The 26,359-nt window shown below is 40.3% G+C and overlaps 1 protein-coding gene across 5 annotated transcripts in view, besides 2 other annotated features; it reads left to right on the forward strand.

Moving 5' to 3' along the window:
- The window catches only part of CDK13 (cyclin dependent kinase 13), a 149,325-nt gene that overhangs the window by 9,343 nt on the left and 113,623 nt on the right, over positions 1-26,359 (forward strand). The gene's annotated exons all lie outside the window — the stretch shown is intronic.
- Positions 15,931-16,431: an enhancer, noted in NCBI's record as "H3K27ac hESC enhancer chr7:40015128-40015628 (GRCh37/hg19 assembly coordinates)". NCBI's record gives its function as "activates a minimal SCP1, AML or CMV promoter by ChIP-STARR-seq in primed H9 embryonic stem cells {active_cell/tissue: H9 hESC(primed)}" and the evidence as "EXISTENCE:reporter gene assay evidence [ECO:0000049][PMID:30033119]".
- Positions 18,664-19,408: an enhancer, noted in NCBI's record as "OCT4-NANOG hESC enhancer chr7:40017861-40018605 (GRCh37/hg19 assembly coordinates)". NCBI's record gives its function as "activates a minimal SCP1, AML or CMV promoter by ChIP-STARR-seq in primed H9 embryonic stem cells {active_cell/tissue: H9 hESC(primed)}" and the evidence as "EXISTENCE:reporter gene assay evidence [ECO:0000049][PMID:30033119]".

Raw genomic sequence — 26,359 nt, forward strand, 5'->3', positions numbered from 1 at the left:
GGATCGCAGATGCATGCCAGCATGCCCAGTTAAATTTTTTATTTTTGGTAGAGACAGCGTTTCACCGTGTTGCCAAGGCTGGTCTCGAACTCTTGAGCTCAAGCAGTCTGCCTGCCTTGGCCTTTCAAAGTGCGGGGATTACAGGTGTGAACCACTGCACCTGGCCAGATGTTCTAATTTCTTGATTTTTTTTTTTTTAAATTAACTTGCAAGACCTACTTGTGTGTTATAGCTACTAACTTGTTTTTTTTTTTTTTTGCGGCATTAGCAAGTATTTTTCGTGAGCTTGTCTTTTATCTTTTAACCTTCTTTATGTAACGTTTTATTTTAGGACTAGGTTTTTGATTTGTCTCTGTGTGTGTGTGCACACGTGTGTTTTAAGTGGTAGTAGTTTCTCCCAGGTACCTAGTGTCAAACTTTAGTAGTACTTTTATCTCTTCATAGTTGTAATGAACTTCTTGTTCTGTAAAGTTTTTTCTTTTTTTTTTTTTTCCAGTGGTCTTTTGGTCCATACATTTATCTTGGAATGCTTTGTTAGTTCTGCTTGCTTTTAGATTTCTCTTTGAGCCCCTCCTGTTCTCTGCATTCAGATTTAAAATACCACTTTCATTTGATCATTTTTTTTTTTCTATAAGATACTTACAGAATCAAATACTTTTTTTTTTGAGATGGAGTCTCGCTCTGTCACCCAGGCTGGAGTGCAGTGGCACGCAGTGTCATGATCTCGGCTCACTGCAAGCTCCGCTTCCCAGGTTCACACTATTCTCCTGCCTCAGCCTCGCGAGTAGCTGGGACTACAGGCGCCCGTCACCACGCTTGGCTAATTTTTTTTGTGTTTTCAGTAGAGACGGGGTTTCATCATTTTACCCAGGATGGTCTTAATCTCCTGACCTCGTGATCCGCCCGCCTTGGCCTCTCAAAGTGCTGGGATTACAGGCATGAGCCACCGCATCTGGCCATCAGATGCTTTTAAAATTAATTTATTTATTTAAGATGGAGTCTCACTGTTGTCGCCCAGGCTGTAGTGCAGTGGCGTGATCTCGGCTCACTGTAACAACCTACGCCTCCTGGGTTCAAGCTGTTCTTCAGCTTTAGCCTCCTGAGTAGCTGGAATTACAGGCGCCTGCCACCATGCCTGGCTAATTTTTGTACTTTTAGTAGAGATGAGGTTTTGCCATGTTGGCCAGGCTGGTCTCGAACTCCTGACCTCAGGTGATCTGCCCACCTTGGCCTGTCAAAGTGCTGGGATTACAGGCGTGAGCCACCGCACCCGGCCAATTTATTTTTTATTGACAAATAATTGTATATGTTTATGTGTGTGATGTTTTGGTGTTTACCTGTGGAGGGCTTCAATCAAGATAATTAAGAAATCAGTCACATCACATACCTATTTTGGTGGTGAAAACATTTTTAAAATAATTTTTTTTTTAACACAGCTCGAAACAGCCATTGAAGAAAACATTTTAACTCTACTCTTTGGCTGGGCACAGTGGCTCACGCCTGTAATCCCAGCACTTTGGGAGGCCAAGGTGGATGGATTACTTGAGGTCGGGAGTTCAAGACCAGCCTGGCCAACATGGCGAAACCCCGTCTCTACTAAAAATACAAAACATAGCCAAGCATGGTGGCGTGTGCCTGTAGACCCCAACTACTCGGGAGACTGAGGCAGCAGAATAGCTCGAACTTGGGAGGCAGAGGTTGCAGTGAGCCGAGATCTCGCCACGACACTCCAGCCTGGGCACAAAGCAAGACTCTGTCTCAAACAAAAAAACTACTGTTTTGTCAGTATCAGAATATGCAGTGCATTATTGTAGTCACCATTCTGCCCAATAGATCGCTAAAATTTATTACTTCTGTCTATCTGAAACTTTGTGTCTTTTGATCAACATCTCCCTTTCCCTATACACTCCTCTCCCCTAGACCCTGGTAACCACCATTCTACTCCCTACTTCTATGAGTTTGAATTTTCTAGATTCCACATATAAGTGAGATCATGCAGTATTTATCTTCCTGTCACAAATGACATAATTTACTTCTTTTTTTTTTTTTAATTATACTTTAAGTTTTAGGGTACATGTGCACAACGTGCAGGTTAGTTACATATGTATACATGTGCCATGTTGGTGTGCTGCACCCATTAACTCATCATTTAACATTAGGTATATCTCCTAATGCTATCCCTCCTCCCTCCCCCTACCCCACAACAGTCCCCAGAGTGTGATGTTCCCCTTCCAGTGTCCATGTGTTCTCATTGTTCAATTCCCACCTATGAGTGAGAACATGCGGTGTTTGGTTTTTTGTCCTTGCAATAGTTTGCTGAGAATGATGGTCTCCAGCTTCATCCATATCCCTACAAAGGACATGAACTCATCATTTTTTATGGCTGCATAGTATTCCATGGTGTATATGTGCCACATTTTCTTAATCCAGTCTATCATTGTTGGACATTTGGGTTGGTTCCAAGTCTTTGCTATCGTGAATAGTGCCGCAATAAACATACATGTGCATGTGTCTTTATAGCAGCATGATTTATAATCCTTTGGGTACATACCCAGTAATGGGATTGCTGGGTCAAATGGTATTTGTAGTTCTAGATCCCTGAGGATTTGCCACAGTGACTTCCACAATGGTTGAACTAGTTTACAGTCCACCAACAGTGTAAAAGTGTTCCTATTTCTCCACATCCTCTCCAGCACCTGTTGTTTCCTGACTTTTTAATGATCACCATTCTAACTGGTGTGAGATGGTATCTCATTGAGGTTTTGATTTGCATTTCTCTGATGACCAGTGATGATGAGCATCTTTTCATGTGTCTTTTGGCTGCATAAATGTCTTCTTTCGAGAAGTGTCTGTTCATATCCTTCGCCCACTTTTTGATGGGGTTGTTTTTTTCTTGTAAATTTGTTTAAGTTCATTGTAGATTCTGAATATTAGCCCTTTGTCACTTGAGTAGATTGCAGAAATTTTCTCCCATTTTGTAGGTTGCCTGTTCACTCTGATGGTAGTTTCTTTTGCTGTGTGGAAGCTGTTTAGTTTAATTAGATCCCGTTCGTCAATTTTGACTTCTGTTGCCATTGCTTTTGGTGTTTTAGACATGAAGTCCTTGCCCATGCCTATGTCCTGAATGGTATTGCCTAGGTTTTCTTCTAGGCTTTTAGGTCTAACATTTAAGTCTGTAATCCATCTTGAATTAATTTTTGTATAAGGTGTAAGGAAGGAATCCAGTTTCAGCTTTCTACATAATGCTAGCTAGTTTTCCCAGCACCATTTATTAAATAGGGAATCCTTTCCCCATTTCTTGTTTTTGTCAGGTTTGTCAAAGATCAGATGGTTGTAGATATGCGGCATTACTTCTGAGGTCTCTGTTCTGTTCCATTGGTCTATATCTCTGTTTTAGTACCAGTACCATGCTGTTTTCGTTACTGTAGCCTTGTAGTATAGTTTGAAGTCAGGTAGCGTGATGCCTCCAGCTTTGTCCTTTTGGCTTAGGATTGACTTGGCAGTGTGGGCTCTTTTTTGGTTCCATATGAACTTTAAAGTAGTTTTTTCCAATTCTGTGAAGAAAGTCATTGGTAGCTTGATGGGGATGGCATTGAATCTATAAATTACCTTGGGCAGTATGGCCATTTTCATGATATTGATTCTTCCTACCCATGAGCTTGGAATGTTCTTCCATTTGTTTGTGTCCTCTTTTATTTCATTGAGCAGTAGTTTGTAGTTCTCCTTGAAGAGGTCCTTCACATCCCTTGTAAGTTGGATTCCTGGGTATTTTACTCTCTTTAAAGCAATTGTGAATGGGAGTTCACTCATGATTTGGCTCTCTGTTTGTCTGTTATTGGTGTATAAGAATGCTTGTAATTTTTGTACATTGATTTTGTATCCTGAGACTTTGCTGAAGTTGCCTATCAGCTTAAGGAGATTTTGGGCTGAGATGTTGGGGTTTTCTAGATATACAATCATGTCATCTGCAAACAGGGACAATTTGACTTTCTCTTTTCCTAATTGAATACCCTTTATTTCCTTCTCCTGCCTGATTGCCCTGGCCAGAACTTCCAACACTATGTTGAATAGTAGTGGTGAGAGAGGGCATCCCTGTCTTGTGCCAGTTTTCAAAGGGAATGCTTCCAGTTTTTGCCCATTCGGTATGATATTGGCTGTGGGTTTGTCATAGCTCTTATTATTTTGAGATACGTCCATCAATACCTAATTTATTGAGAGTTTTTAGCATGAAGCATTGTTGAATTTTGTCAAAGGCCTTTTCTGCATCTATTGTGATAATCATATGGTTTTTGTCATTGGTGCCGTTTATATGCTGGATTACGTTTATTGATTTGCATATGTTGAACCAGCCTTGCATCCCAGGGATGAAGCCCACTTGATCATGGTGGATAAGCTTTTTGATGTACTGCTGGATTTGGTTTGCCAGTATTTTATTGAGGATCTTTGTATCGATGTTCATCAGGGATATTGGTCTAAAATTCTATTTTTTGTTGTGTCTCTGCCTGGCTTTGGTATCAGGATGATGCTGGCCTCATAAAATGAGTTAGGGAGGGTTCCCTCTTTTTCTATTGATTGGAATAGTTTCAGAAGGAATGGTACCAGCTCCTCCTTGTACCTCTGGTAGAATTCAGCTGTGAATCCATGTGGTCCTGGACTTTTTTTGGTTGGTAAGCTATTAATTATTGCCTCAATTTCAGAGCCTGTTATTGGTCTATTCAGATATTCAGCTTCTTCCTGGTTTAGTCTTGGGAGGGTGTATGTGTCCAGGAATTTATTCATTTCTTCTAGAGATTTTCTACTTTATTTGCGTAGAGGTGTTTATAGTATTCCCTGATGGTAGTTTGTATTTCTGTGGGATCAGTGGTGATATCCCCTTTATCATTTTTTATTGCATCTATTTGATTCTTCTCTCTTTTTTCTTTATTAGTCTTGCTAGCGGTCTGTCAATTTTGTTGATCTTTTAAAAAAACCAGCTCCTGGATTCATTGATTTTTTTTTTTTTGAAGGGATTTTTGTGTCTCTATTTCCTTCAGTTCTGCTCTGATCTTAGTTATTTCTTGCCTTCTGCTAGCTTTTGAATGTGTTTGCTCTTGCTTCTCTAGTTCAGTTGTAATGTTAGGGTGTCAATTTTAGATCTTTCCTGCTTTCTCTTGTGGGCTTTAGTGCTTATAAATTTCCCTCTACACACTGCTTTGAATGTGTCCCAGAGATTCTGGTATGTTGTGTCTTTGTTCTCGTTGGTTTCAAAGAACATCTTTATTTCTGCCTTCATTTCGTTATGTATCCAGTAGTCATTCAGCAGCAGGTTGTTCAGTTTCCATGTAGTTGAGCGGTTTGGAGTGAGTTTCTTAATCCTGAGTTCTAGTTTGATTGCACTGTGGTCTGAGAGACAGTTTGTTATAATTTCTGTTCTTTTACATTTGCTGAGGAGTGCTTTACTTCCAAGTATGTGGTCAATTTTGGAATAGGTGTGGTGTGGTGCTGAAAAGAATGTATATTCTGTTGATTTGGGGTGGAGAGTTCTGTAGATGTCTATTAGGTTAGCTTGGTGCAGAGCTGAGTTCAATTCCTGGATATCCTTGTTAACTTTCTGTCTCGTTGATCTGTCTAATGTTGACAGTGGGGTGTTAAAGTCTCCCATTATTTTTGTGTGGGAGTCTCTCTTTGTAGGTCTCTAAGGACTTGCTTTATAAATCTGGGTGCTCCTGTATTGGGTGCATATATATTTAGGATAGTTAGCTCTTGTTGAATTGATCCCTTTACCATTATGTAATGGCCTTCTTTGTTTCTTTTGATCTTTGTTGGCTTAAAGTCTGTTTTATCTGAGACTAGGATTGCGACCACTGCCTTTTTTTGTTTTCCATTTGCTTGGTAGATCTTCCTCCATCTCTTTATTTTGAGCCTATGTGTGTCTCTGCACGTGAGATGGGTTTCCTGAATACAGCATGCTGATGGGTCTTGACTCTTTATCCAATTTGCCCATCTGTGTCTTTTAATTGGAGCATTTAGCCCATTTACATTTAAGGTTATTATTGTTGTGTGTGAATTTGATCCTGTCATTATGATGTTAGCTGGTTATTTTGCTCATTAGTTGATGCAGTTTCTTCCTAGCCTCAATGGTCTTTACAATTTGGTATGTTTTTGCAGTGGCTCTTACCGGTTGTTCCTTTCCATGTTTAGTGCTTCCTTCAGGAGCTCTTGTAGGGCAGGCCTGGTGGTGACAAAATCTCTCAGCATTTGCTTGTCTGTTAAGGATTTTATTTCTCCTTCACTTATGAAGCTTAGTTTGGCTGGATATGAAATTCTGGGTTGAAAATTCTTTTCTTTAAGAATGTTGAATATTGGCCCCCACTCTCTTCTGGCTTGTAGAGTATCTGCTGAGAGATCAGCTGTTAGTCTGATGGGCTTCCCTTTGTGGGTAACCCGACCTTTCTCTCTGGCTGCCCTTAACATTTTTTCCTTCATTTCAACTTTGGTGAATCTGACAATTACGTGTCTTGGAGTAGCTCTTCTCGAGGAGCATCTTTGTGGCGTTCTCTGCATTTCCTGAATCTGAATGTTGGCCTACCTTGCTAGATTAGGGAAGTTCTCCTGGATAATATCCTGCAGAGTGTTTTCCAACTTGGTTCCATTCTCCCTGTCACTTTCAGGTACACCAATCAGATGTAGATTTGGTGTTTTCACATGGTTCCATATTTCTTGGAGGCTTTGTTCGTTTCTTTTTATTCTTTTTTTTCTAAACTTCTCTTCTTGCTTCATTTCATCTTCCATCACTGATACCCTTTCTTCCAGTTGATCGAATCAGCTACTGAGGCTTGTGCATTCATCACGTAGTTCTTGTGCCTTGATTTTCAGCTCCATCAGGTCCTTTAAGGACTTCTGTGCGTTGGTTATTCTAGTTAGCCATTCATCTAATTTTTTTTCAAGGTTTTTAACTTCTTTGCCATGGGTTCGAATTTCCTCCTTTAGCTCGGAGTAGTTTGATTGTCTGAATGAAGCCTTCTTCTCTGAACTCGTCGAAGTCATTCTCTGTCCAGCTTTGTTCCGTTGCTGGTGAGGAGCTGCGTTCCTTTGGAGGAGGAGAGGCGCTCTGATTTTTAGATTTTTCAGTTTTTCCGCTCTGTTTTTCCCCATCTTTGTGGTTTTATCTACCTTTGGTCTTTGATGATGGTGATGTACAGATGGGGTTTTGGTGTGGATGTCCTTTCTGCTTGTTAGCTTTCCTTCTAACAGTCAGGACCCTCAGCTGCAGGTCCGTTGGAGTTTGCTGGAGGTCCACTCCAGACCCTGTTTGCCTGGGTATCAGCAGCGGAGGCTGCAGACCAGCGGATATTGTTGAACAGTAAATGTTGCTGCCTGATCGTTCCTCTGTAAGTTTTGTGTCAGAGGAGTACCTGGCCGTGTGAGGTGTCAGTCTGCCCCTACTCGGGGGTGCCTCCCAGTTAGGCTACTCGGGGTTCAGGGACCCACTTGAGGAGGCCGGCTGTCTGTTCTCAGATCTCCAGCTGCGTGCTGGGAGAACCACAATTTACTTCTTTTTAAAGCTAAGCCGAGTGCAGTGGCACACGCCTGTAATCCCAGTACTTTGGGAGCCTGAGGTGGGCAGATCGCTTGAGCTCAGGAGTTTGAGACTAGCCCTGGCAACGTGGTGAAATCTCTTCTCTACAAATACAGAAAAATCAGCCCAGCATGGTGGCATGTACCTGTAGTTCCAGATACTTGTGAGGCAGAACTGGGAGAATTGCATGAGCCCTGGAGGTAAAGGCTACAGTAAGCTGAGATCGCGCCACGCCTCTGCACTCCAGCCTGGGCAACAGAGTGAGACCCTGTCTCAAAAACAAAATAAAACAAAAAACAAACCTGAACCACATTAAAAAAAAAAAAATCCGTTCATCTAACAATGGACACCTAGGTTGCTTCCATATCTGAGCTATTGTGAATAATGCTGCAATGAACATGGGAGTGGAGACATCTCCTAAGCATACTGATTTCAGTTCCTTTGGGTATATACCCAGAAGTGGGATCATGTGGTAATCTTGTTTTTACTTTTTTGAGGAACCTCCATACCATTATCCATGATGGCTATAGTAATTTACATTCATACCAGCAGTGCACAAGGGTCTCCTTTTCTGTATACACTTGCCAACACTTGTTATCTTTCATTTTTTTGATGCTAGCCATTCTAACAGGTGGGAGGTGGTATCTCATAGTGGTTTTAGTTTGCATTTCCTTGGTGATTATTGATGATGATGAGCATTTTTTCATGTATCTGTTGGCCATTTGTATGTCCTTTTTAAAAAAAAAAATTGAGATGGGATCTTGCTATGTTGCCCAGGCTGGTCTCAAACTCCTGGGCTCAAGGAGTCTTCCCACCTCACCCACTTCAGCCTCCCAAGTAGCTGGGATTCAAGCACTAATCACCAAATCCAACTGTATTCCCTCTTTTGAGGAATGTCTATTTAGGTCCTTTGCCCGTTTTTGAAATTGGGTTATTTTCTTTCTGTTGATTTGAGTTGCTAATATATTTTGAATATTAATGTGTTATCAGATATGTGGTTTGTAGGTATTTTCTCCTTATCCACAGGTTGTCACTTTACTTCATTGTTTCCTTTGCTTTGCAGAGGCTTTTTAATTTGATTCCATCCCTTTGTTTATTTTTGTTTTTGTTCCCTGTACTTTTGGGTTTATAACCACGAAACCTTTGCCCAAACTAATGTCATGGAGCTTTTCTTCTCCTTTCTACTGTATAAGGTGTGAGATGAGAGTCTATTTTCATTATTCTCCATGTGGATATCCAGTTTTCCCACCCCTGTTTATTTTTAAGACACAGGGTCTTGCTGTGTTGCCAAGGCTGGTCTTGGAACTCCTAGGTTCAAGCAGTCCTCCCGCCTAGCCTCTGCAGTAGCTGGGACTACAGACATGCACCACTGTGCCTCACTCCCATCACCATTTATTGAAGAGGCTGTCCTTTTCTTACTGTATGCTCTTGGCTACTTTGCCAAAAATCAGTTGACTATAAATGGGTTTATTTCTGGGTTCTCTATTGTGTTCCTTCAGTTAATGTCTCTGTTTGTATGCCAGTACCATACTCTTTGGATTAACATAGCTTTGGAATAAACTTTGAAGTCAGGTAGTGGGATACCTCCAGCCTTGTTCTTTTTGCTCAGGATTGCTTTGGCCATTTGGGATCTTTTGAGGGTTTGAGTATTCCACTGAATCAGAGTCTTGAATGGGGCATTTAAGACCCCCAACACAGACTGAACCAAACTACTCTTACTTCTTACCGTATATCCTGATCACAATACAAACTGGACTGTTTACTATTTTCTTATATCTTAGTTTGTATCCTTCCTTCAGTTTGCCAGTCTGGCTTGCTCATTCTTTCAACCTTAGTTCAGGTGGGTTTTTTTGTTTGTTTGTTTGTTTGTTTGTTTTGAGATGGAGCCTCGCTCTGTGGCTGGAGTGCAGTGGTGTGATCTCAGCTAACTGCAACCTCTACCTCCCAGGTTCAAGCGATTCCCCTGTCTCAGCCTCCCAAGTAGTTGGGATTACAGGCACACACCACCACGCCTGGCTAGTTGTTTTTGTATTTTTAGTAGAGACAGGGTTTCACCATGTTGGCCAGCTGGTCTCGAACTCCTCACCTCAGGTGATCCACCTGCCTCAGCCTCCCAAAGTGCTGGGATTACAGTTATGAGCTACGGCACCTAGCCTCAGGTGTTATTTTTATCTATGAAGTCTTCATTAATCTCGTTCAGAAGTGATTTTTAAAAATACCTTTAGAACTGAGATCACTTTGTGAGTACTTATTACATCCAGTTTACCCAGTTGGTAGGCATTTGAGTTATTTCCAGTTTTTGGCTGTTATGAGCAAAGCTACTGAACATTTGAGTACAGGTCTTTTGTTTTTGTTTCTCTTGAATAAGTTAGGAGAGGGTTTGCTGTGTTGTTGTATGGGAAGCGAATGCTTGACTTCCTACAGTCCCATGGTGTTTTTCAAAATGTCTTTGCCATTTGCATTCCAGTCAGTAGAGTATGGGATTCCAGATGCCTCACCTCCTCAATAAGACTTATTTTTTTTTTTGTCAGTCTTTGATTTTAGCCATTCTAGTGGATGTGTATTGGTATCTCATTGTGGTTTTATTTGCAATTCCCTAATGATAAGTAATGTTGAGTATACTTCCATATGTTTATTTGCCCTTCCTATTTTTTGCTAAGTGTCTCAAAATGTTCATTCTTCATGAATTGGGTTGTTGTCTTACTAAAGTTGTAAGAATTCTGTGTATATGCTAGATACAAATAAATGTTTTGCAAACGTTTTTTCCTCAGTCTGTGGCTCACTTTCCCTAACAGTAATTTCCAAGAGCAAACGTTTTAAATTTTAATGAAAAACCAGTTTAGCATTTGTGTGATTTATGCTTTTTTTTTTTTTTTTTGAGACAGCGTGTCTCACTCTGTCGCCCAGGCATGTTCTCAGCTCACTGCAACCTCCGCCTCCTGGGTTCAAGCGATTCTCGTGTCTCAGCCTCCTGAGTGGCTGGGATTATAGGCATGTGCCATCACGCCCAGCTAAATTTTGTATTTTTAGTAGAGACAGGGTTTCACCATGTTGGCCAGGCTGGTCTCAAACTCCTGACCTCAACCTGCTTCTGCCTCCCAAAGTGCTGGGATTACAGGCGTGAGCCAGCCACTGTGTTCGGCCAGATTTATGCATTTTATGTCCAAAAAAATTTTTGCCTAACCCACAGTAACAGATATTTTCTCCTTAGGCTTATAATGTGCATGTTTCTCAGTCTACTTTTATGTATAATGTTAACATTATGATAGCATACTTACATTTTCATCTTGTCTTTTGTACTGTTGTCATCTTTTTTTTTTTTGAGACGGAGTCTTACTTCTTCGTCTAGACTGGAGTGCAATGGCATGATCTTGGCTCACTGCAACCTCCGCCTCCCAGGTTCAAGCAATTCTCTTGCCTCAGCCTCCCCAGTAGCTGGGATTACAGGCATGTGCCACCACGCCCAGCTAATTTTTGTATTTTTAGTAGAGCTGGGATTTCACCCTGTTGGCCAGGCTGGTCTTGAACTCCTGACCTCAAGTGATCCACCCACTTCAGCCTCCCAAAGTGCTGGGATTACAGGCATGAGCCACTGCGCCTGGCCTGTTGTCATCTGTTTTATGTCTGTTTGCATGGTGTATGTGTGTTAAATACAGACATAAAATTTAAAATGAGAAGAGGCACTTATATTTACTCAAATGTTTACCTTTTCAAATGCTTTTCCTTTTTACAGATCCAACTTTCCATGTAGTATCATTTTCCTCTGGCTGGAGGAATGGCTTTGAACATTTTTTATTATGTAGGTCTGCTTTTTCTATGTCTGATAAAGTCTCCATTTTGAAAGATTGTTTTACTGGGTGTGGAATCCTAAACTGAAATTTTTTCCTTAATATTTTGACTTGTTGCATTTCTAGCTGATAAATTTCTGTAATATTTTGGTTTTGCTTCAACCATTGGATTTCAAGTCCTGTGACTTTTTAAATATTTGTGGTTCTTAAGCACCTAGTACAGCATTTGATAGTAGGTACCTAGCAAGTGAGATTAAATTGCCTGTCTTGTTTTATAATTTTATTTTCTAGGGCTGGGTGTGGTGGCTCATGCCTGTAATCCCAGCAGTTTGGGAGGCTAGGGCAGCAGATCAACTGAGGCCAGGAGTTCAAGACTAGCCTGGCCAACATGACAAAACCCCATCTCTGCTAAGGGTACAAAAACTAGCTGGGTGTGGTGATGTGCACCTGTAATCCCAGCTACTCGGAAGGCTGAAGTAGGAGAATCACTTGAGCCCAGGAGGCGGAGGTTGCCATGAGCCAAGATCTTGCCACTACACTCCAGCCTGGGCAACAGAGTAAGACTCGGTCTCAAAAAAACAAAACAAAAAACAAAAAAAACACTTTGTATTTTCTAGCAAACTATTCCTTCAGCATAAATTGCTTTGGATTAAAAAAAAAAAGAGGTCCAGGCTGGGTGTGGTGGCTCGCAGCACTTTGGGAGGCCAAGGCAGGCAGATCACGAGGTCAGGAGTTCGAGACCAGCCTGGCCAATATGGTGAAACTCTGTCTTTACTAAAAATACAAAAATTAGCCGGACGTGGTGGCGGGCGCCTATAGTCCCAGCTACTTGGGAGGCTGAGGCAGAAGAATCACTTGAACCTGGGAGGTGGAGCTTGCAATGAGCTGAGATTGCACCACTGCCTGGGCAACAGAGCAAGACTCCATCTCAAAAAGACAAAAAATGAAAAACAAAAAAAACAAAAAAAGGTCCAGCCCCACACGGTTAGAAAAATTCTGTTGATATTAATAAGGTCTGGTAATACACTTTGAACAAATTCTTGATGGCTACAGAGAGACTAATCAAAGTATGTGCTTTTGTGCATGTCAAGTACTGAGCTCCCTTCTACTCTTCTCACCTGCTTTTCATTTTCTGTCTTCAAAAATACATATCAAGGCATGGTTCAGGGAAACATGAAGACAAACACAGAATTTATGCTCAGTGGACTAGAACATGTTTGCTTGAGCAAATCTGCAAAAAGTCAGCCACGTGTCTTTTTGTTGTTGTTGTCGTTACTTTTAATATGGCATAAGAACCATAAAGGAAGTGTATTTTTAGAATAAACACAAAACATTTCAGTTTTATGTTATCTTTTCTAGTTTTAAAAATAACATGTTTATTGAAATGTATTTCACATACTGTACAGTTACTGTTTTAAACTATAATTTATTAGTCTTTAGTCTCTTCATAGCTTTGTGTAACCACTAATTTGAGAATATTTCAGTCACTCCAGAGAGAAACTCCATGGCTATTTAGCAGTCACTCCCCATTCCCACATTCCACAGTTTTGGCAACCAACGGTTGGTGATTTCTTTCTGTCTTTGTAGATTTACCTATGCTGGATATTTCATTTCAGTGGAATCATATAATGTATGATCTTTTATGGCTGGATTCTTTCACTAAAGCATAATGTTTTCAAGGTTTATCTGTGTTGTAGTATATGGATCAATATTCCTTTTATTGGCCAAATATCCCATTGTATGGTTATGCCACATTTTATCATTAGTCATGGACCTTTGGGTTAACTTTTTGGCTATTTTTTTAATGCTGCTATGAACATTTGTGTACAAGTTTTTGCATGAGCATTTGTTTTTCTCTTGAGCATATATCTAGGAGTAGAATTGCTGGGTCATATGATAATTCTATGTTTAAGATTTTAAAGAGCTGTCAAGCTGTTTTTTAAAGTAGCTGCATCATTTTTATATTCATATCAGCAACATATGAGGGTTCCAGTTTCTTCACATCCTCAACAAGAGTTGTCTTTTTGATTGTAGCCATCTTGGTATTTGCAGTGGGATCACATTTTGGTTTAGATTTGCATTTCTCTAATGACAAATAAAGTTGAGCATCTTTTCATGTGTTTTTGACCATTTGAGAAATGGCCAAAATCTTTTTTTGAGAAATGTCTACATGAATCTCTTGTCCACCCCCACTACCCCCTCTTTTTTTTGAGACAGGGTCTCACTCTGTTGCCCAGGCTAAAGTGCAGTGGCACAATTTTGGCTCACTGCAGCCTCCATCTCTAGGACTCAAACAATTTCCCTATCTTAGCCTCCTGAGCAGCTGGGACCACAGGTACACGCCACCACACCTGGCTAATTTTTTCGTATTTTTGTATAGATGAGGTTTTGCCGTGCTGCCCAGTCTGGTCTCAAACTCAAGCTCAAGCAATCCTCCCACCTTGGCCTCCCCAAATGCTGGGATTATGGGCATGAGACACCATGCCTGGCCTTCTTTGCCCATTTTTAAATTGGGCTGTCGTCTTATTATAGGATCTTAAGAGTTTTTTATACTGTCTATTCTAGATGTAAGTCCTTTATCAGATACATGATTTACAAATAATTTCTTTCATTCTATCACTTTGTTGATGGTGTCTTTTAAAGCACAAAAGTATTTTATTTTGATGGAGTCCAATTTATTATTTATTGCTTGTGTTTTTTGGTCTCAAATCTAAGAAGGCTTTGCCTAATCTGTGTTCACAAAGATTTTCTGCATTTTCTTCTAAAAATTTTATAGTTATAGCTCCTACTTTGATCCATTTTCAGTTAGTTTTTTGTATGGTGAAAGGAAGAGGTCTAGCTTCATTCTTTTGTGTGTGGATATACAGTTGTCCCAGCACCATTTGTTGAAAAGAGTATTCCTTTTCCATTGAATTGTCTTAGCACCCTTGTTGAAAATCAACTGATCACAAATGTTAGGATTTATTTATGTACTCTGAATTCTGTTCCATTGATTTATGTATCCGTCCGTATGCCAGTACCACACAGTCTTGCTTACTCTGATTTTGCAGTAATTTTTGAAATCAGGAAGTGTGAATCTTCCAACTTAGGTCTTTTTTAAGATTGTTTTGACTGTTTGGGTTCTTGGCATTTTCAAATGAATTTTAGAATCAGCTTGCCAGTTAGTTCAAAAAAGCAGCTAGGATTTTGATAGGGAGTACATTGATTTTAAAAATTTTTTGTTTCATCACTACAGAACTGCAATACATTGACTTTTTAGATTAATTTGGGGAGTATTATCTTGTTAATTTTTTTTTTTTCTTTTTGAGACAGGGTTTCACTATGTTGCTCAGGGTGGTCTTGAACTCCTAGGCTCAAGCGCTCCTCCTGCCTTGGCCTCCCAAGGTGTTGGGATCATAGGCATGAGCCAGCGCGCCTGGCCAGGGAGTATTACCTTTTAACAATTTAAGTCATCTAATACGTGAACACGGGATGTCTTTCCTTTTATTTAGATTTTCCTTAATATTTTTTAGTGTGTTTTGTAGTTTTCAGGGTATAAGCCTTGCACTTTTTAAACTTTTAGGTATTTCATCCTTTTAAAGGCTATTGCAATGGGATTGTTTTCTTTTTTTCTTTTTTTTTTTTTTTTTTTGTTTTTTGAGATGAAGTCTCGCTGTGTCACCCAGGCTGGAGTGCAGTGGCACGGTCTTGGCTCACTGCAACTCTGCCTCCTGGGTTCAAGTGATTCTCCTGCCTCAGCCTCCTATGTAGCTGGGATTACAGGTGAGTGCCACCATGGCTGGCTAATTTTTGTATTTTTAGTAGAAACAGGGTTTTGCCATGTTGGTCAGGCTGGTCTCAAACTCCTGACCTCAGGTGATCCACCCACCTTGACCTCCCAAAGTACTGGGATTACAGGCGTGAGCCACAGTGCCCAGCCGGAATTCCTTTTATTTCTTATCCTTGACTAATTACAATGGCTAGAACCTCAAATACAATGTTGAACAGAGGAATGAGAAGGGACTTTCTTGTCTTGTTCCTCATTTAGTCTTTATTCGCAAAGTAGTTAGCTGCAGATTCGTCATAAATGGCTAGTTTTATTTTTTAATAAAAATAATGACTTTGATTCCAAGTCATTGCAGAAGTCAGGAAAAAAAAAAGACTTTGTTTCTCTCAAAGTCTTAAGCTCTGGTGTAAAAAAAATTCTGGGTTGGGCATGGTGGCTCACACCTGTTATCCCAGCACTTTGGGAGGCCGAGGCAGGAGGGTCACTTGAACCCAAGAGTTTGAGATTAGCCTGGGAAACATGGCAAAAACTTGTCTCTACAGAAAATACAAAAATTTGCCGGGCCTGGTGGTGTGCACTTGTCCCATCTACTTGAGGGGCTGAGGCAGGAGAATCGCTTTGAGCCTGGGAGGTTGAGGCTGCAGTGAGCCAAGATTGCACCACTGCACTCCAGCCTGGGCAACAGAGTGAGACCCTGTCTCAAAGCAAAACAAAAAAAACCCCTCAAATACCTTGTTTGACCCCTATATGTGAGCATATATTAATATAAGTATTCATTACTATTCTAGGGGCCATGAAAAAAGGAAATCTCCTATTTTGTAGTATGTGTGTAATGATTGCCACATTGGTTTCTCATATACCATGTGTACAGAAACATTTGAACAGTGTTTTATAATGAATAATGTATGCATTAATGTTGAAATGATGAGAGAGAGCCCGCCATGTGATGATCTAAGCATCCCAGGAAAAGAAAATGATGCATGCTTAGGCACCAAGTCAAGAAGAAGCTTGACCTTCTGCAAAAGCAGAAAGGAGACCAGCATGGCTGGAGTCTGGTAAATAAAGAAGGGTATAATAAAGATGGAAGGCGGTTTAGGCCTTGTGAGTCACAACACAGAGTTTTATTTTTATTTTAAATGCAGTTGGAAACCACTACAGAGTTTTAAGCAAGGACATGGCATAATCCAATTTATGTTTTTAAAAGACAAAGACATAAAATACAAGCCAACCTGTAACAAGTACTGTGTGATCAGCAAATAGGGAAGTGATAGAGATGAGACTTTAGCTTGACCCATGCAAAATAGATAAGAATTAAACAGGATCACACCTGTACTCCCAGCACTTTGGGAGGCCGAGATGGGCGGATCACCTGAGGTCAGGAGTTTGAGACCAGCCTAACATGGTGAAACCCCGTCTCTACTAAAAATACAAAATTTAGCTGGGTGTAGTGGTGGGTGCCGTAATCCCAGCTACTTGGGAGGCTAAGGCAGGAGAATCACTTGAACCCGGGAGGCGGAGGTTGCAGTGAGCCGAGATCATGCCATTGCACTCCAGCCTGGGCAACAGAGCGAGATTCCGTCTCTCTCTCTCTCTCTCTCTCTCTCTCTCTCTCTCACACACACACACACACACACACACACACACACACAGAAACAAATGGAGGAGAAAGAGATAGTGTGGTAGCAATAAATAGTGCTTGGCTTTGAAGTGAAAGACTTGGGTTTGAATATTGACTCTGCCTCTTCTTAGTTCCCCCATCTGCTTTCTCTATACCTTGGTTGCACATGAGGAGCAAATCAAATGAAAAATGCTTATAAATGTGAACCTGTGAGGGTTAGTGTGGTATACAGTCATGTCCCCAGTTTTCCATGGGGCATATATTCTAATACTCCCAGCGGTTGTCTGAAACCACCAAAATAGTACTCCACTCTAAATATACTATGTTTTTTTCTATACATACATACCTGTGATAAAGTTTAATTTATAAATTAGGCACAGTAAGAGATTAACAACAATAATAAAATAGAACAATTATAACAATACCCTAAAATAAAAGTTATGTGAATGTAGGGTCTCTCTCAACATATCTTATTATACCGTACCTTGCATAAGAGAAACCATGGAAAGTGAAATTGAGGACGAGGGGACTGCTGTACGGTATTTGTTTTATTCAGTGAATAAAACACTGAATTATGCTAGGGGCTGTGGAGTGATACAACAATGAATTAGACTCGGTTTCTGCTCCTCAAAGAGGGTGCAGTCTGATAGACAATGTGGTTGATATCTAAAATGTGAAGTTAAGAGTTATCATAAGAAGGGTGCAGATAAAATGCTATGGGAGTTCATAGAATGGAGACCGTGCTGCTTGTTTGGATTTGGCTTCTTTCTTCATAAGGCTTTATGAAGTCCTTTATGCTAGTCCTTGAGAGATGGATAAGCCTTGAATAGAAGATGGAGGGCAAGATGATATTCTCACTAGGCCAGTATGTGGGAATATAAAGGCATGGAAGTATTGGGCAAATTTAGTACTTGATAAGCAAAGGTAGGTTAGGACCAGACAAATTATGCAGTACCTTGATACTAGGCTGCTGTGAATTCTTTTCAATAGGAATACTATCAGCAGTGTCTTTAATTGTGTAAATATTTATTGAGCATCTACCACTGCTAGGTTTATGATAGAAGTCAAGGCTTGAGGATAGAATATCTCAGTTTAGTTGGGGAAGATAGATTATCTGATTATTTTTATTCTGAGATATAAACAGAATTGTGATGGGATCGTAGGACAAGTACCAGCTCTAGCTGACTGGCGTAATAAGAGAGGGCTTTATAAAGGTGGTAAACACTGTGCTGAGATACGAAGTATCCTTTTGTTTCCTACATAAAGGAGGTGAAGAGAGGAATATGAGAGAAACATTCTAGGCCTGACACTTCCTATATTTTGTGATGGCTGGACAAGGACTTTATATGCAAGTCAAGCAGGGCCGAAGGCTTTGGGGTAACTGAAAGATTATTCAAGTGCAGAGTTAATTGGAAAGGGTGGAGACTCGAGGTGGGAACCTGGTAGGGAGACTTGCACTGGGCCCAGTGTGTGATGATGTAGTACCTAATGTGGAATAGTAGCTATGGGGATAAAGAGCATGGAAAAATGGAGAGATGCTTGAGATGTAGAATTGGTGGAGCTTGGAAACCAAATAGATCTGTGAGAAGAGATAAAAGAGATCATGTGGAATGTAGAATAATTTCCAGGTTTCTGCTGTTTTAGAGGGTGCCACTGCCTCAGAATAGGGTGTATTTAAGGAGAAGGAGGGTGGATTTGAAGAGGAAGCTTAATAGTTTTAGCTGTATTGTGTTGAAGATACATGTCAGAGTTGGAAGTAGAGAGGATGATTTGCGGGGGTGATGGGGGACGAATTGACAACATTTAGGTAATCATTTAAGCCACACATAGCATAAATTAAACTTGTGGGAGAATGAATATAGGAAGGAAGAAAAACCTCAAGGTGCGGAAACAGCCATAGAAGTAAGAAAATCATGAAGATGAAAGGTAGTAGAAATAGCTAGGAAGTGCTCCAAATAATTGCAGCAGAGAGAGACTTTTAAGGTTGTAGCCAACATTATCACAGACAGTGACGTTTTTTTCTTTTTCTTTTTTTGAAAGGTAGGTCATTGGTTGCTTCAGAGGTGACCAGTTGCAGAATGGATGTATGTATAAGCCAGATTGTAGTGATTTGAGGATTGAAAGGACAAAAGAGATTTTGGCCGTAACTGGAAGGACAGATAAAGATAATATCAGTATGTCATCATTTTCTCTTTGTTTTGTTTTCTTGTCTGTTTTTAAATATCTTAGAGATTTGAGTAATTTATTCCTTCAGGGGAATTAACAAATGAACAGCAAAGGTTAACATCACAATTAATAGAGTAAGCCAGCTATTGTCATAGAGTAGCCTAGCATAGTGCATCTCAGACTTTAATGGATATCTTGTTAAAATGCAGATTGTGGTTCAGTAGGTCTGGGCTGGAGTCTGAGACACAGCATTTCTGACAAGCTCACAATTGGTGCTGATGCTGCCTGTCTATGGACTACACTCTAAGAAGTAAGGCTCTAGAGAGTATGAGATTGATGCATTATAGGGGAGTTAGCCTTAGATAGAAAGAGGAACACCTCCTTTCTTAATTGAGGTGGAGTGTACGGTGGATGAAGGCACAGGAAATACAGATTAAATTTGCAGGCAAGAGACATGCCTGGTAGTCTTTGTTTTTTTCTGTGAAACAATAAGTAAAGCTATGCTATGAGAAGACTAGGAATGGGATTGTGTGAGCTTGATGAAAGTTGTGAAAGTTTGGAATAGCTACTAAGAGGAGGAAAATGAGTGAATTTGGGACATGTAATAATCGCTGAACAGTGAGGATTAGTTTGGTTATGGTGTCTGTAGAAATGGAGCAGACACAGACTAGTAATAAAGTAAAAAAGACTAGTAACGTAGATTTTTTTCTTTCTTTTTTTTCTTTTTTTTTTTTTTTTGAGACAGAGTTTTCGCTCTTGTTGCCCAGGCTGGAGTGCAATGGCATGATCTCGGTTCACCGCAACCTCCGCCTCCCAGGTTCAAGCGATTCTCCTGCCTCAGCCTCCCAAGTGGCTGGGATTACAGGCATGCGCCACCACACCCGTCTGATTTTGTATTTTTAGTAGAGACAGGGTTTCTCCATGTTGGTCAGGTTGGTCTCGAACTTCTGCCCTCAGGTGATCTGCCCATCTCGGCTTCCCAAAGTGCTGTGATTACAGGTCTGAGCCACCACACGTGGCCAAGAGATTGCTTATTTTTTTAAGATGATATGGTACTCTAGGGAAGTGGTAATGAGGTCTAAAGTAGAACAGTGTCCTCGAGAATGGAAGAGGAGGATGTGGTAGGCCGAATAATACTCACCCAACACCACACCCCCTCCAGGTGCCATGCCCTAATCTTTTCAATCTCTGACTGTTACACCTTACATTTTAAGAGGAACTTCGTAGATATGATTAAATTAAGTATGTTGATATGGCGGGGTTATTCTGGGTTATCTGGATGGGTCCTGTGTAATCACAAGGATTTTTATAAAAGAGAGGCTGTAGGGTCTAGTCAGAGAACTCACGTGATGACAGGAATAGGAGAGAGAAAATGTCATGATGAAAGTAGAGGCCCAGGTGATGTAAGGTTTTGAGCCAAGGAATGTAGACAGCCTGTGGAAGCTGGAAAAGGCAAGGGAACATTTTCCCAAGAGACTCCAGAAGGAACAAAGCTCTGGTGACATGTTGATTTTAGTTCACTGAGACTGATTTTGGACTTCTGACATGCAGAACTGCAAGAAAATAAATTTGTGTTGTTCTAAACTGCTGACTTTGTGGAGTTTTCTGTTACAACAACGATCAGACACATTCAGAGGGTATGGATATAAGGGAATAGTATAGAGTTAGAATCAGTAAAATGAGACAATTAAGAGGTTGTGGTATGGGAACTGGGAAACTAGATTTCTAGCCTGGGTAAATGAGTGGAGAGTAGTGAAATTAAAAATAGAGAATGGTAAGGAGTAGATGTTACAGGAGGGTATATTTGCTTTGCAAGTCATAATTTCAGGAACTGGTGAGAATAGTATTTTGCGTCTAGTAATATAGATTAGAGTGGAAGAAAATTTGAAACAAGGAGATGAATTTAAGAGGCTACCACAGTGCTGTTACATATAGTTAATAGAGCTGTTATAATAACGTTACATGACAAAATACACAGGATCATCACTTTATATAGTGATTTTCAGTTTGGGAGTCATATTCATACCTTTTTGGGGGGGTTAATAAGTTTTTGAAATGGACACAGCTGCTATTAGCATGAGAAATAAGCAGAGTGGAAACATTGGCCTCAAAGATGTTGTGGATAGCAGCTACTGTATTGGGCATCATATGTATAGAACATTTCTGTCATCCAGAAAGTTCCATTGAGTGATGCTGCTCTGTGTTATTTTCAACAGTGGAGGACTGGATATTATCAGTATTACAGTAAAATTTTTAGGACACAGTATTTGCTAATTAGAAATAATTTTCAGAAGACCTAGACTCCTGGAGAAACTGTGAGATAATAGTCAAGTGAACAATATACATTGCTCTCCAAGGAACACTAAATAGTCTAACAACGAGCACTAACCAGTTGGGTTTCAGGATACTGGGTTTTTATTCTGGTACTACTTTGTGTTGTGTGTATTTGGGAAAACCTGTTAGAAACATAGAAAGTTCTCTTCTTAAAGAGGTCCTGTAGCCTCTTAAAAACATCACAAGCAAGAAACAGGTAATATGTATTCATTAATTTCTACAACAGTGTCGGAATATTAGGAAAACATTTTTAGAAAGAAAAATCTTGGCTGGGTGCAGTGGCTCATGCCTGTAACCCTAGGCCAAAGTGGACAGATCACTTGAGTCCAGGAGTTTGAGATCAGCCTGGACAATATGGCGAAACCCCTATCCCTGCAAAACATACAAAAATTAGTCGAGTGTGGTGGTGCGCGCCTGTAGTCCCCGCTACTTTTGGGGGGTGGAGGTGGGACGATCACTTGACCCCAGAGGTCAAGGCTGCAGTGAGCCTTGTTTGCGCCACTGCACTCCAGCCTGTGCGAAAAAGTGAGAGACCCTGTCTTAAAAAAAAAAAAAATTATCTATTAAACAAGGAGGTTGGACCTGCTACCTACCTCCATTTCAGTTCTTTTAGTAAAACATTATCATGCCATAATTCATTATATAGTTTTAAAGATGCACTTCTCTCTTATTCTCATAACTTTTTATGGCTGAAATGTTAATCATTAGTAAAAATGGCCTAAACTGAAATTTGTTTAGTTTTAGGTTCCCAAACCATGTTTGTTATAAACAGTAAATATATTTTTGGAATTTATTAGCAAATCACAATATCTGAGAGAATGGAAACTTACTAAGACGAAATAAATAGTTTAAGGAAGGAACTTTTGTAGAGAAATAAAAGAGTTGGAGAGGAACGGAAGTTGTATGTAGAAGAATTCAGTTGATATAGTGATCAAATACTATAAAAAGTAGCTTCCAAAATATCTTTTTTTTTTTTTTTTTGAGACGGAGTCTCGCTCTGTCACCCAGGCTGGAGTGCAGCGGCACAATCTCGGCTCACTGCAAGCTCTGCCTCCCGGGTTCATGCCATTCTCCTGCCTCAGCCTCCCAAATAGCTGGGACCACAGGCGCCCGCCACTACGCCCGGCTAATTTTTTTTTTTTTCACTATTGTGTATTTTTTCTTTTTTCTTCTTTTTTTCTTTTTTTTTAATTATTATTATTATACTTTAAGTTTTAGGGGACATGTGCACAATGTGCAGGTTAGTTACATATGTATACATGTGCCATGCTGGTGTGCTGTACCCATTAACTCGTCATTTAGCATTAGGTATATCTCCTAATGCTATCCCTCCCCCCTCCCCCTACCCCACAACAGTCCCCAGAGTGTGATGTTCCCCTTCCTGTGTCCATGTGTTCTCATTGTTCAATTCCCACTTATGAGTGAGAACATGCGGTGTTTGGTTTTTTGTCCTTGTGATAGTTTACTGAGAATGATGATTTCCAGTTTCATCCATGTCCCTACAAAGGACATGAACTCATCATTTTTTATGGCTGCATAGCATTCCATGGTGTATATGTGCCACATTTTCTTAATCCAGTCTATCATTGTTGGACATTTGGGTTGGTTCCAAGTCTTTGCTATTGTGAATAGTGCCGCAGTAAACATACATGTGCATGTGTCTTTATAGCAGCATGATTTATAGTCCTTTGGGTATATACCCAGTAATGGGATGGCTGGGTCAAATGGTATTTCTAGTTCTAGATCCCTGAGGAATCGCCACACTGACTTCCACAATGGTTGAACTAGTTTACAGTCACACCAACAGTGTAAAAGTGTTCCTATTTCTCCACATCCTCTCCAGCACCTGTTGTTTCCTGACTTTTCAATGATTGCCATTCTAACTGGTGTGAGATGGTATCTCATTGTGGTTTTGATTTGCATTTCTCTGATGGCCAGTGATGATGAGCATTTTTTCATGTGTCTTCTGGCTGCATAAATGTCTTCTTTTGAGAATTGTCTGTTCATATCCTCTGCCCACTTTTTGATGGGGTTGTTTGTTTTTTTCTTGTAAATTTGTTTGAGTTCATTGTAGATTCTGGGTATTAGCCCTTTGTCAGATGAGTAGGTTGTGAAAATTTTCTCCCATGTTGTAGGTTGCCTGTTCACTCTGATGGTTGTTTCTTTTGCTGTGCAGAAGCTCTTTAGTTTAATTAGATCCCATTTGTCAATTTTGGCTTTTGTTGCCATTGCTTTTGGTGTTTTATTAGACATGAAGTCCTTGCCCATGCCTATGTCCTGAATGGTAATGCCTAGGTTTTCTTCTAGGGTTTTTATGGTTTTAGGTATAACGTTTAAGTCTTTAATCCATCTTGAATTAATTTTTATATAAGGTTTAAGGAAGGGATCCAGTTTCAGCTTTCTACATATGGCTAGCCAGTTTTCCCAGCACCATTTATTAAATAGGGAATCCTTTCCCCATTGCTTGTTTTTTCAGTAGAGATGGGGTTTCACCATGTTAGCCAGGATGATCTTGATCTCCTGACCTCGTGATCCGCCCACCTCAGCCTCCCAAAGTGCTGGGATTACAGGCGTGAGCAACTGCGCCCGGCCCCAAAATATCTTTATATAGAACAAAAGTTTTCTGAGTCTTTATCTCTGTTATTCAGATTCTGTCTAAAAGAGATTAATAGTTCAGAAGAATGAATTGTGTTGGGATTTTACCTATTATCTTTGTATCTCTTTTCTTAGATAAGATTCACTGATTGTAAATTTCAATTAAATATAGTTTATGTGTCTGAATGAAATTGATGACCAGAATCTTGCCAGTGTAGGAAAAGTTGATTTCCTACACTGCTTTCTTCTGCTGCTTACCTTTCTGCTACTCATCAGTATCTGATCAGGGGATAGAAACATGACGTATATCAGACTTGTTTGGAGCTCCAACAAAATCTGAAGGGAGAGGAAATTAAAAATGTGGCTGAGTATTTCATGTTATGACACTTTTGGTTCCTATATTAAAGTTAACCAAGTTATTTCACAACCAGCTTACAATCACTTCATATTTAGCCAAACATTTCTTCTCATTTCTATGTATAATTATAAGCTTATTGATATTAAAGTGTGGGTTTTTATGAAATGCTTCCTCAATACTGAACCTTAGTTGACCCAAAGCACATACTTGTTTTTGAAAGAGGGGGGTAGATGTTGAATTTGTGTTTGAGTTTATCCTAAACCTAATCATCATTTTGTTTTTGTCCTAGAATTAGAATGTTTCTAAACACTTCCCTCCACACTGTATTAATGTCAACTAAGAACGGAAATTTTCAGTGTCCAGGCACGGTGGCTCATGCCTGTAATCCCAGCACTTTGCGATGCCAAGGCAGGAGGATCCCTGGAGCCCAGGAGTTCAAGACCAGCTTGGGCAGCAGAGTGAGACCCTGTCTCTACAAAGTTAGCTGGGCATGGTGGCGCACACCTGTTGTCCCAGCTACTCAGGAAGCTGAGGTGGAGGATTGCTTTAGCCCAAGAAGTCGAGGCTGCAGTGAGCTGTGGGTAGTATCTCTGCACTCCAGCCTGGGTGACAGTGAGACCCTGTTTCAAAAAAAAAAAAAAAATTATCTGCCTATTTATTATTTTTTTTGAATTAAAAAAATTCACGAAATAAAAATTTAAAAAAATTTTGTGGGTGCATAGTAGATGTATATATTTATGGGTTACATGAGATATTTTGATACAGGCATGCATGCATATTAGTCATGTCAGGGTAAATGGGGCATCCTTTTATCCTTTGTGTTACAAGCATTTATCCTTTGTGTTACAGACAATCCAACTATCCTCTTATGGTTTTTTGTAAATGTACACTTAAATTATTTTTGACTGTTGGCTGGGTGTGGTGGTTCACACCTGTAATCCCAGCACTTTGGGAGGCCGAGGCAGGCAGATCACCTGAGGTCAGGAGTTCGAGACCAGCCTGGCTAACATGGTGAAACCCTGTCTCTACTAAAAATACAAATACTAGCCAGGCATGGTGCAGGCATGCCTGTAGTATCAGCTATCAGGAGGCTGAGGCAGGAGAATCGCTTGAACCCAGGAGGCAGGATAATCGCTTGAACCCGGTAGGCAAAGGCTGCAATGAGCCGAGATTGCACCACTGCACTCCAGCCAGGGCTGGAGCGAGACTCTGACTAAAAACAAAAAAAAAAAGAAAAAAAATGTGACTATAGTCAGCCTATTGTGCTAGCAAATAGTAGGTCACCTTCATTCTTTGTATTTTTTGTGCCCATTAACCCTCCCCCGACCCTCCACCATGTCACTACCCCTCCAGCCTCTGGTAACCGTCCTTCTACTCTCTATCTCCATGAGTTGAATTGTTTTAATTTTTAGCTCCCACAAATAAGTGAGAACATGCAAAGTTTGCCTTTCTGTGCCTCACTTATTTTACGTAACATGATGACCTCTAGTTCCATCCATGCTGTTGCAAGTGACGGGATCTCATTTTCTTTTTATGGCTGAATAGTACTAGATTGTTTATATGTACCACATTTTCTTTATCCATTCATCTGTTGATGGACACTTAGGTTACTTCCAAATCTTGGCTAATGTGAATAGTGCTGCAATAAACATGGGAGTGCAGGTATCTCTTTAGTATTATTGATTTCCTTTCTTTGGGGTATGTACCTAGGAGTGGGATTGCCGAATTATAAGATAGCTCTAGTTTTAGCTTTTTGAGGAACCTCCAAACTGTTCTTCACAGTGGTTATACTAATTTACATTCCCATCTACAGTGTACAAGGGTTCCCTTTTCTCCACATTCTCGCCAGCTAGCTCCTTGGCAGTGTGTTAATGTGTTAACCTGCCTACTTTAGAGTTAAAAAAAATGCTGAGTTTCAGACCTGAGTTGTAGATAAAAATAGAATCCAACTCAGATCTTATAAGAGACTTTAATGCAGGGACTACAGAGGTGCCGTGGATTAAGGGAACCCATAAGGCATGTTTTTACTAGCAGCAGAGAAGCCCAAAGGGCCAGGAAAAATACAGTGTTATTGGAGTCTCTTGAGAGCTGTGAAGAGGGTGCCTCACAGCAACCATGGCGGTGGAGGGATGCAGCTTCTTCCAGAAAATGTGGCCATGAGGAGGGAGGGAGCTAG

This window comes from Homo sapiens, chromosome 7 (genome assembly GCF_000001405.40).
Source record: "Homo sapiens chromosome 7, GRCh38.p14 Primary Assembly".
NCBI classification, from domain to species: domain Eukaryota; kingdom Metazoa; phylum Chordata; class Mammalia; order Primates; family Hominidae; genus Homo; species Homo sapiens.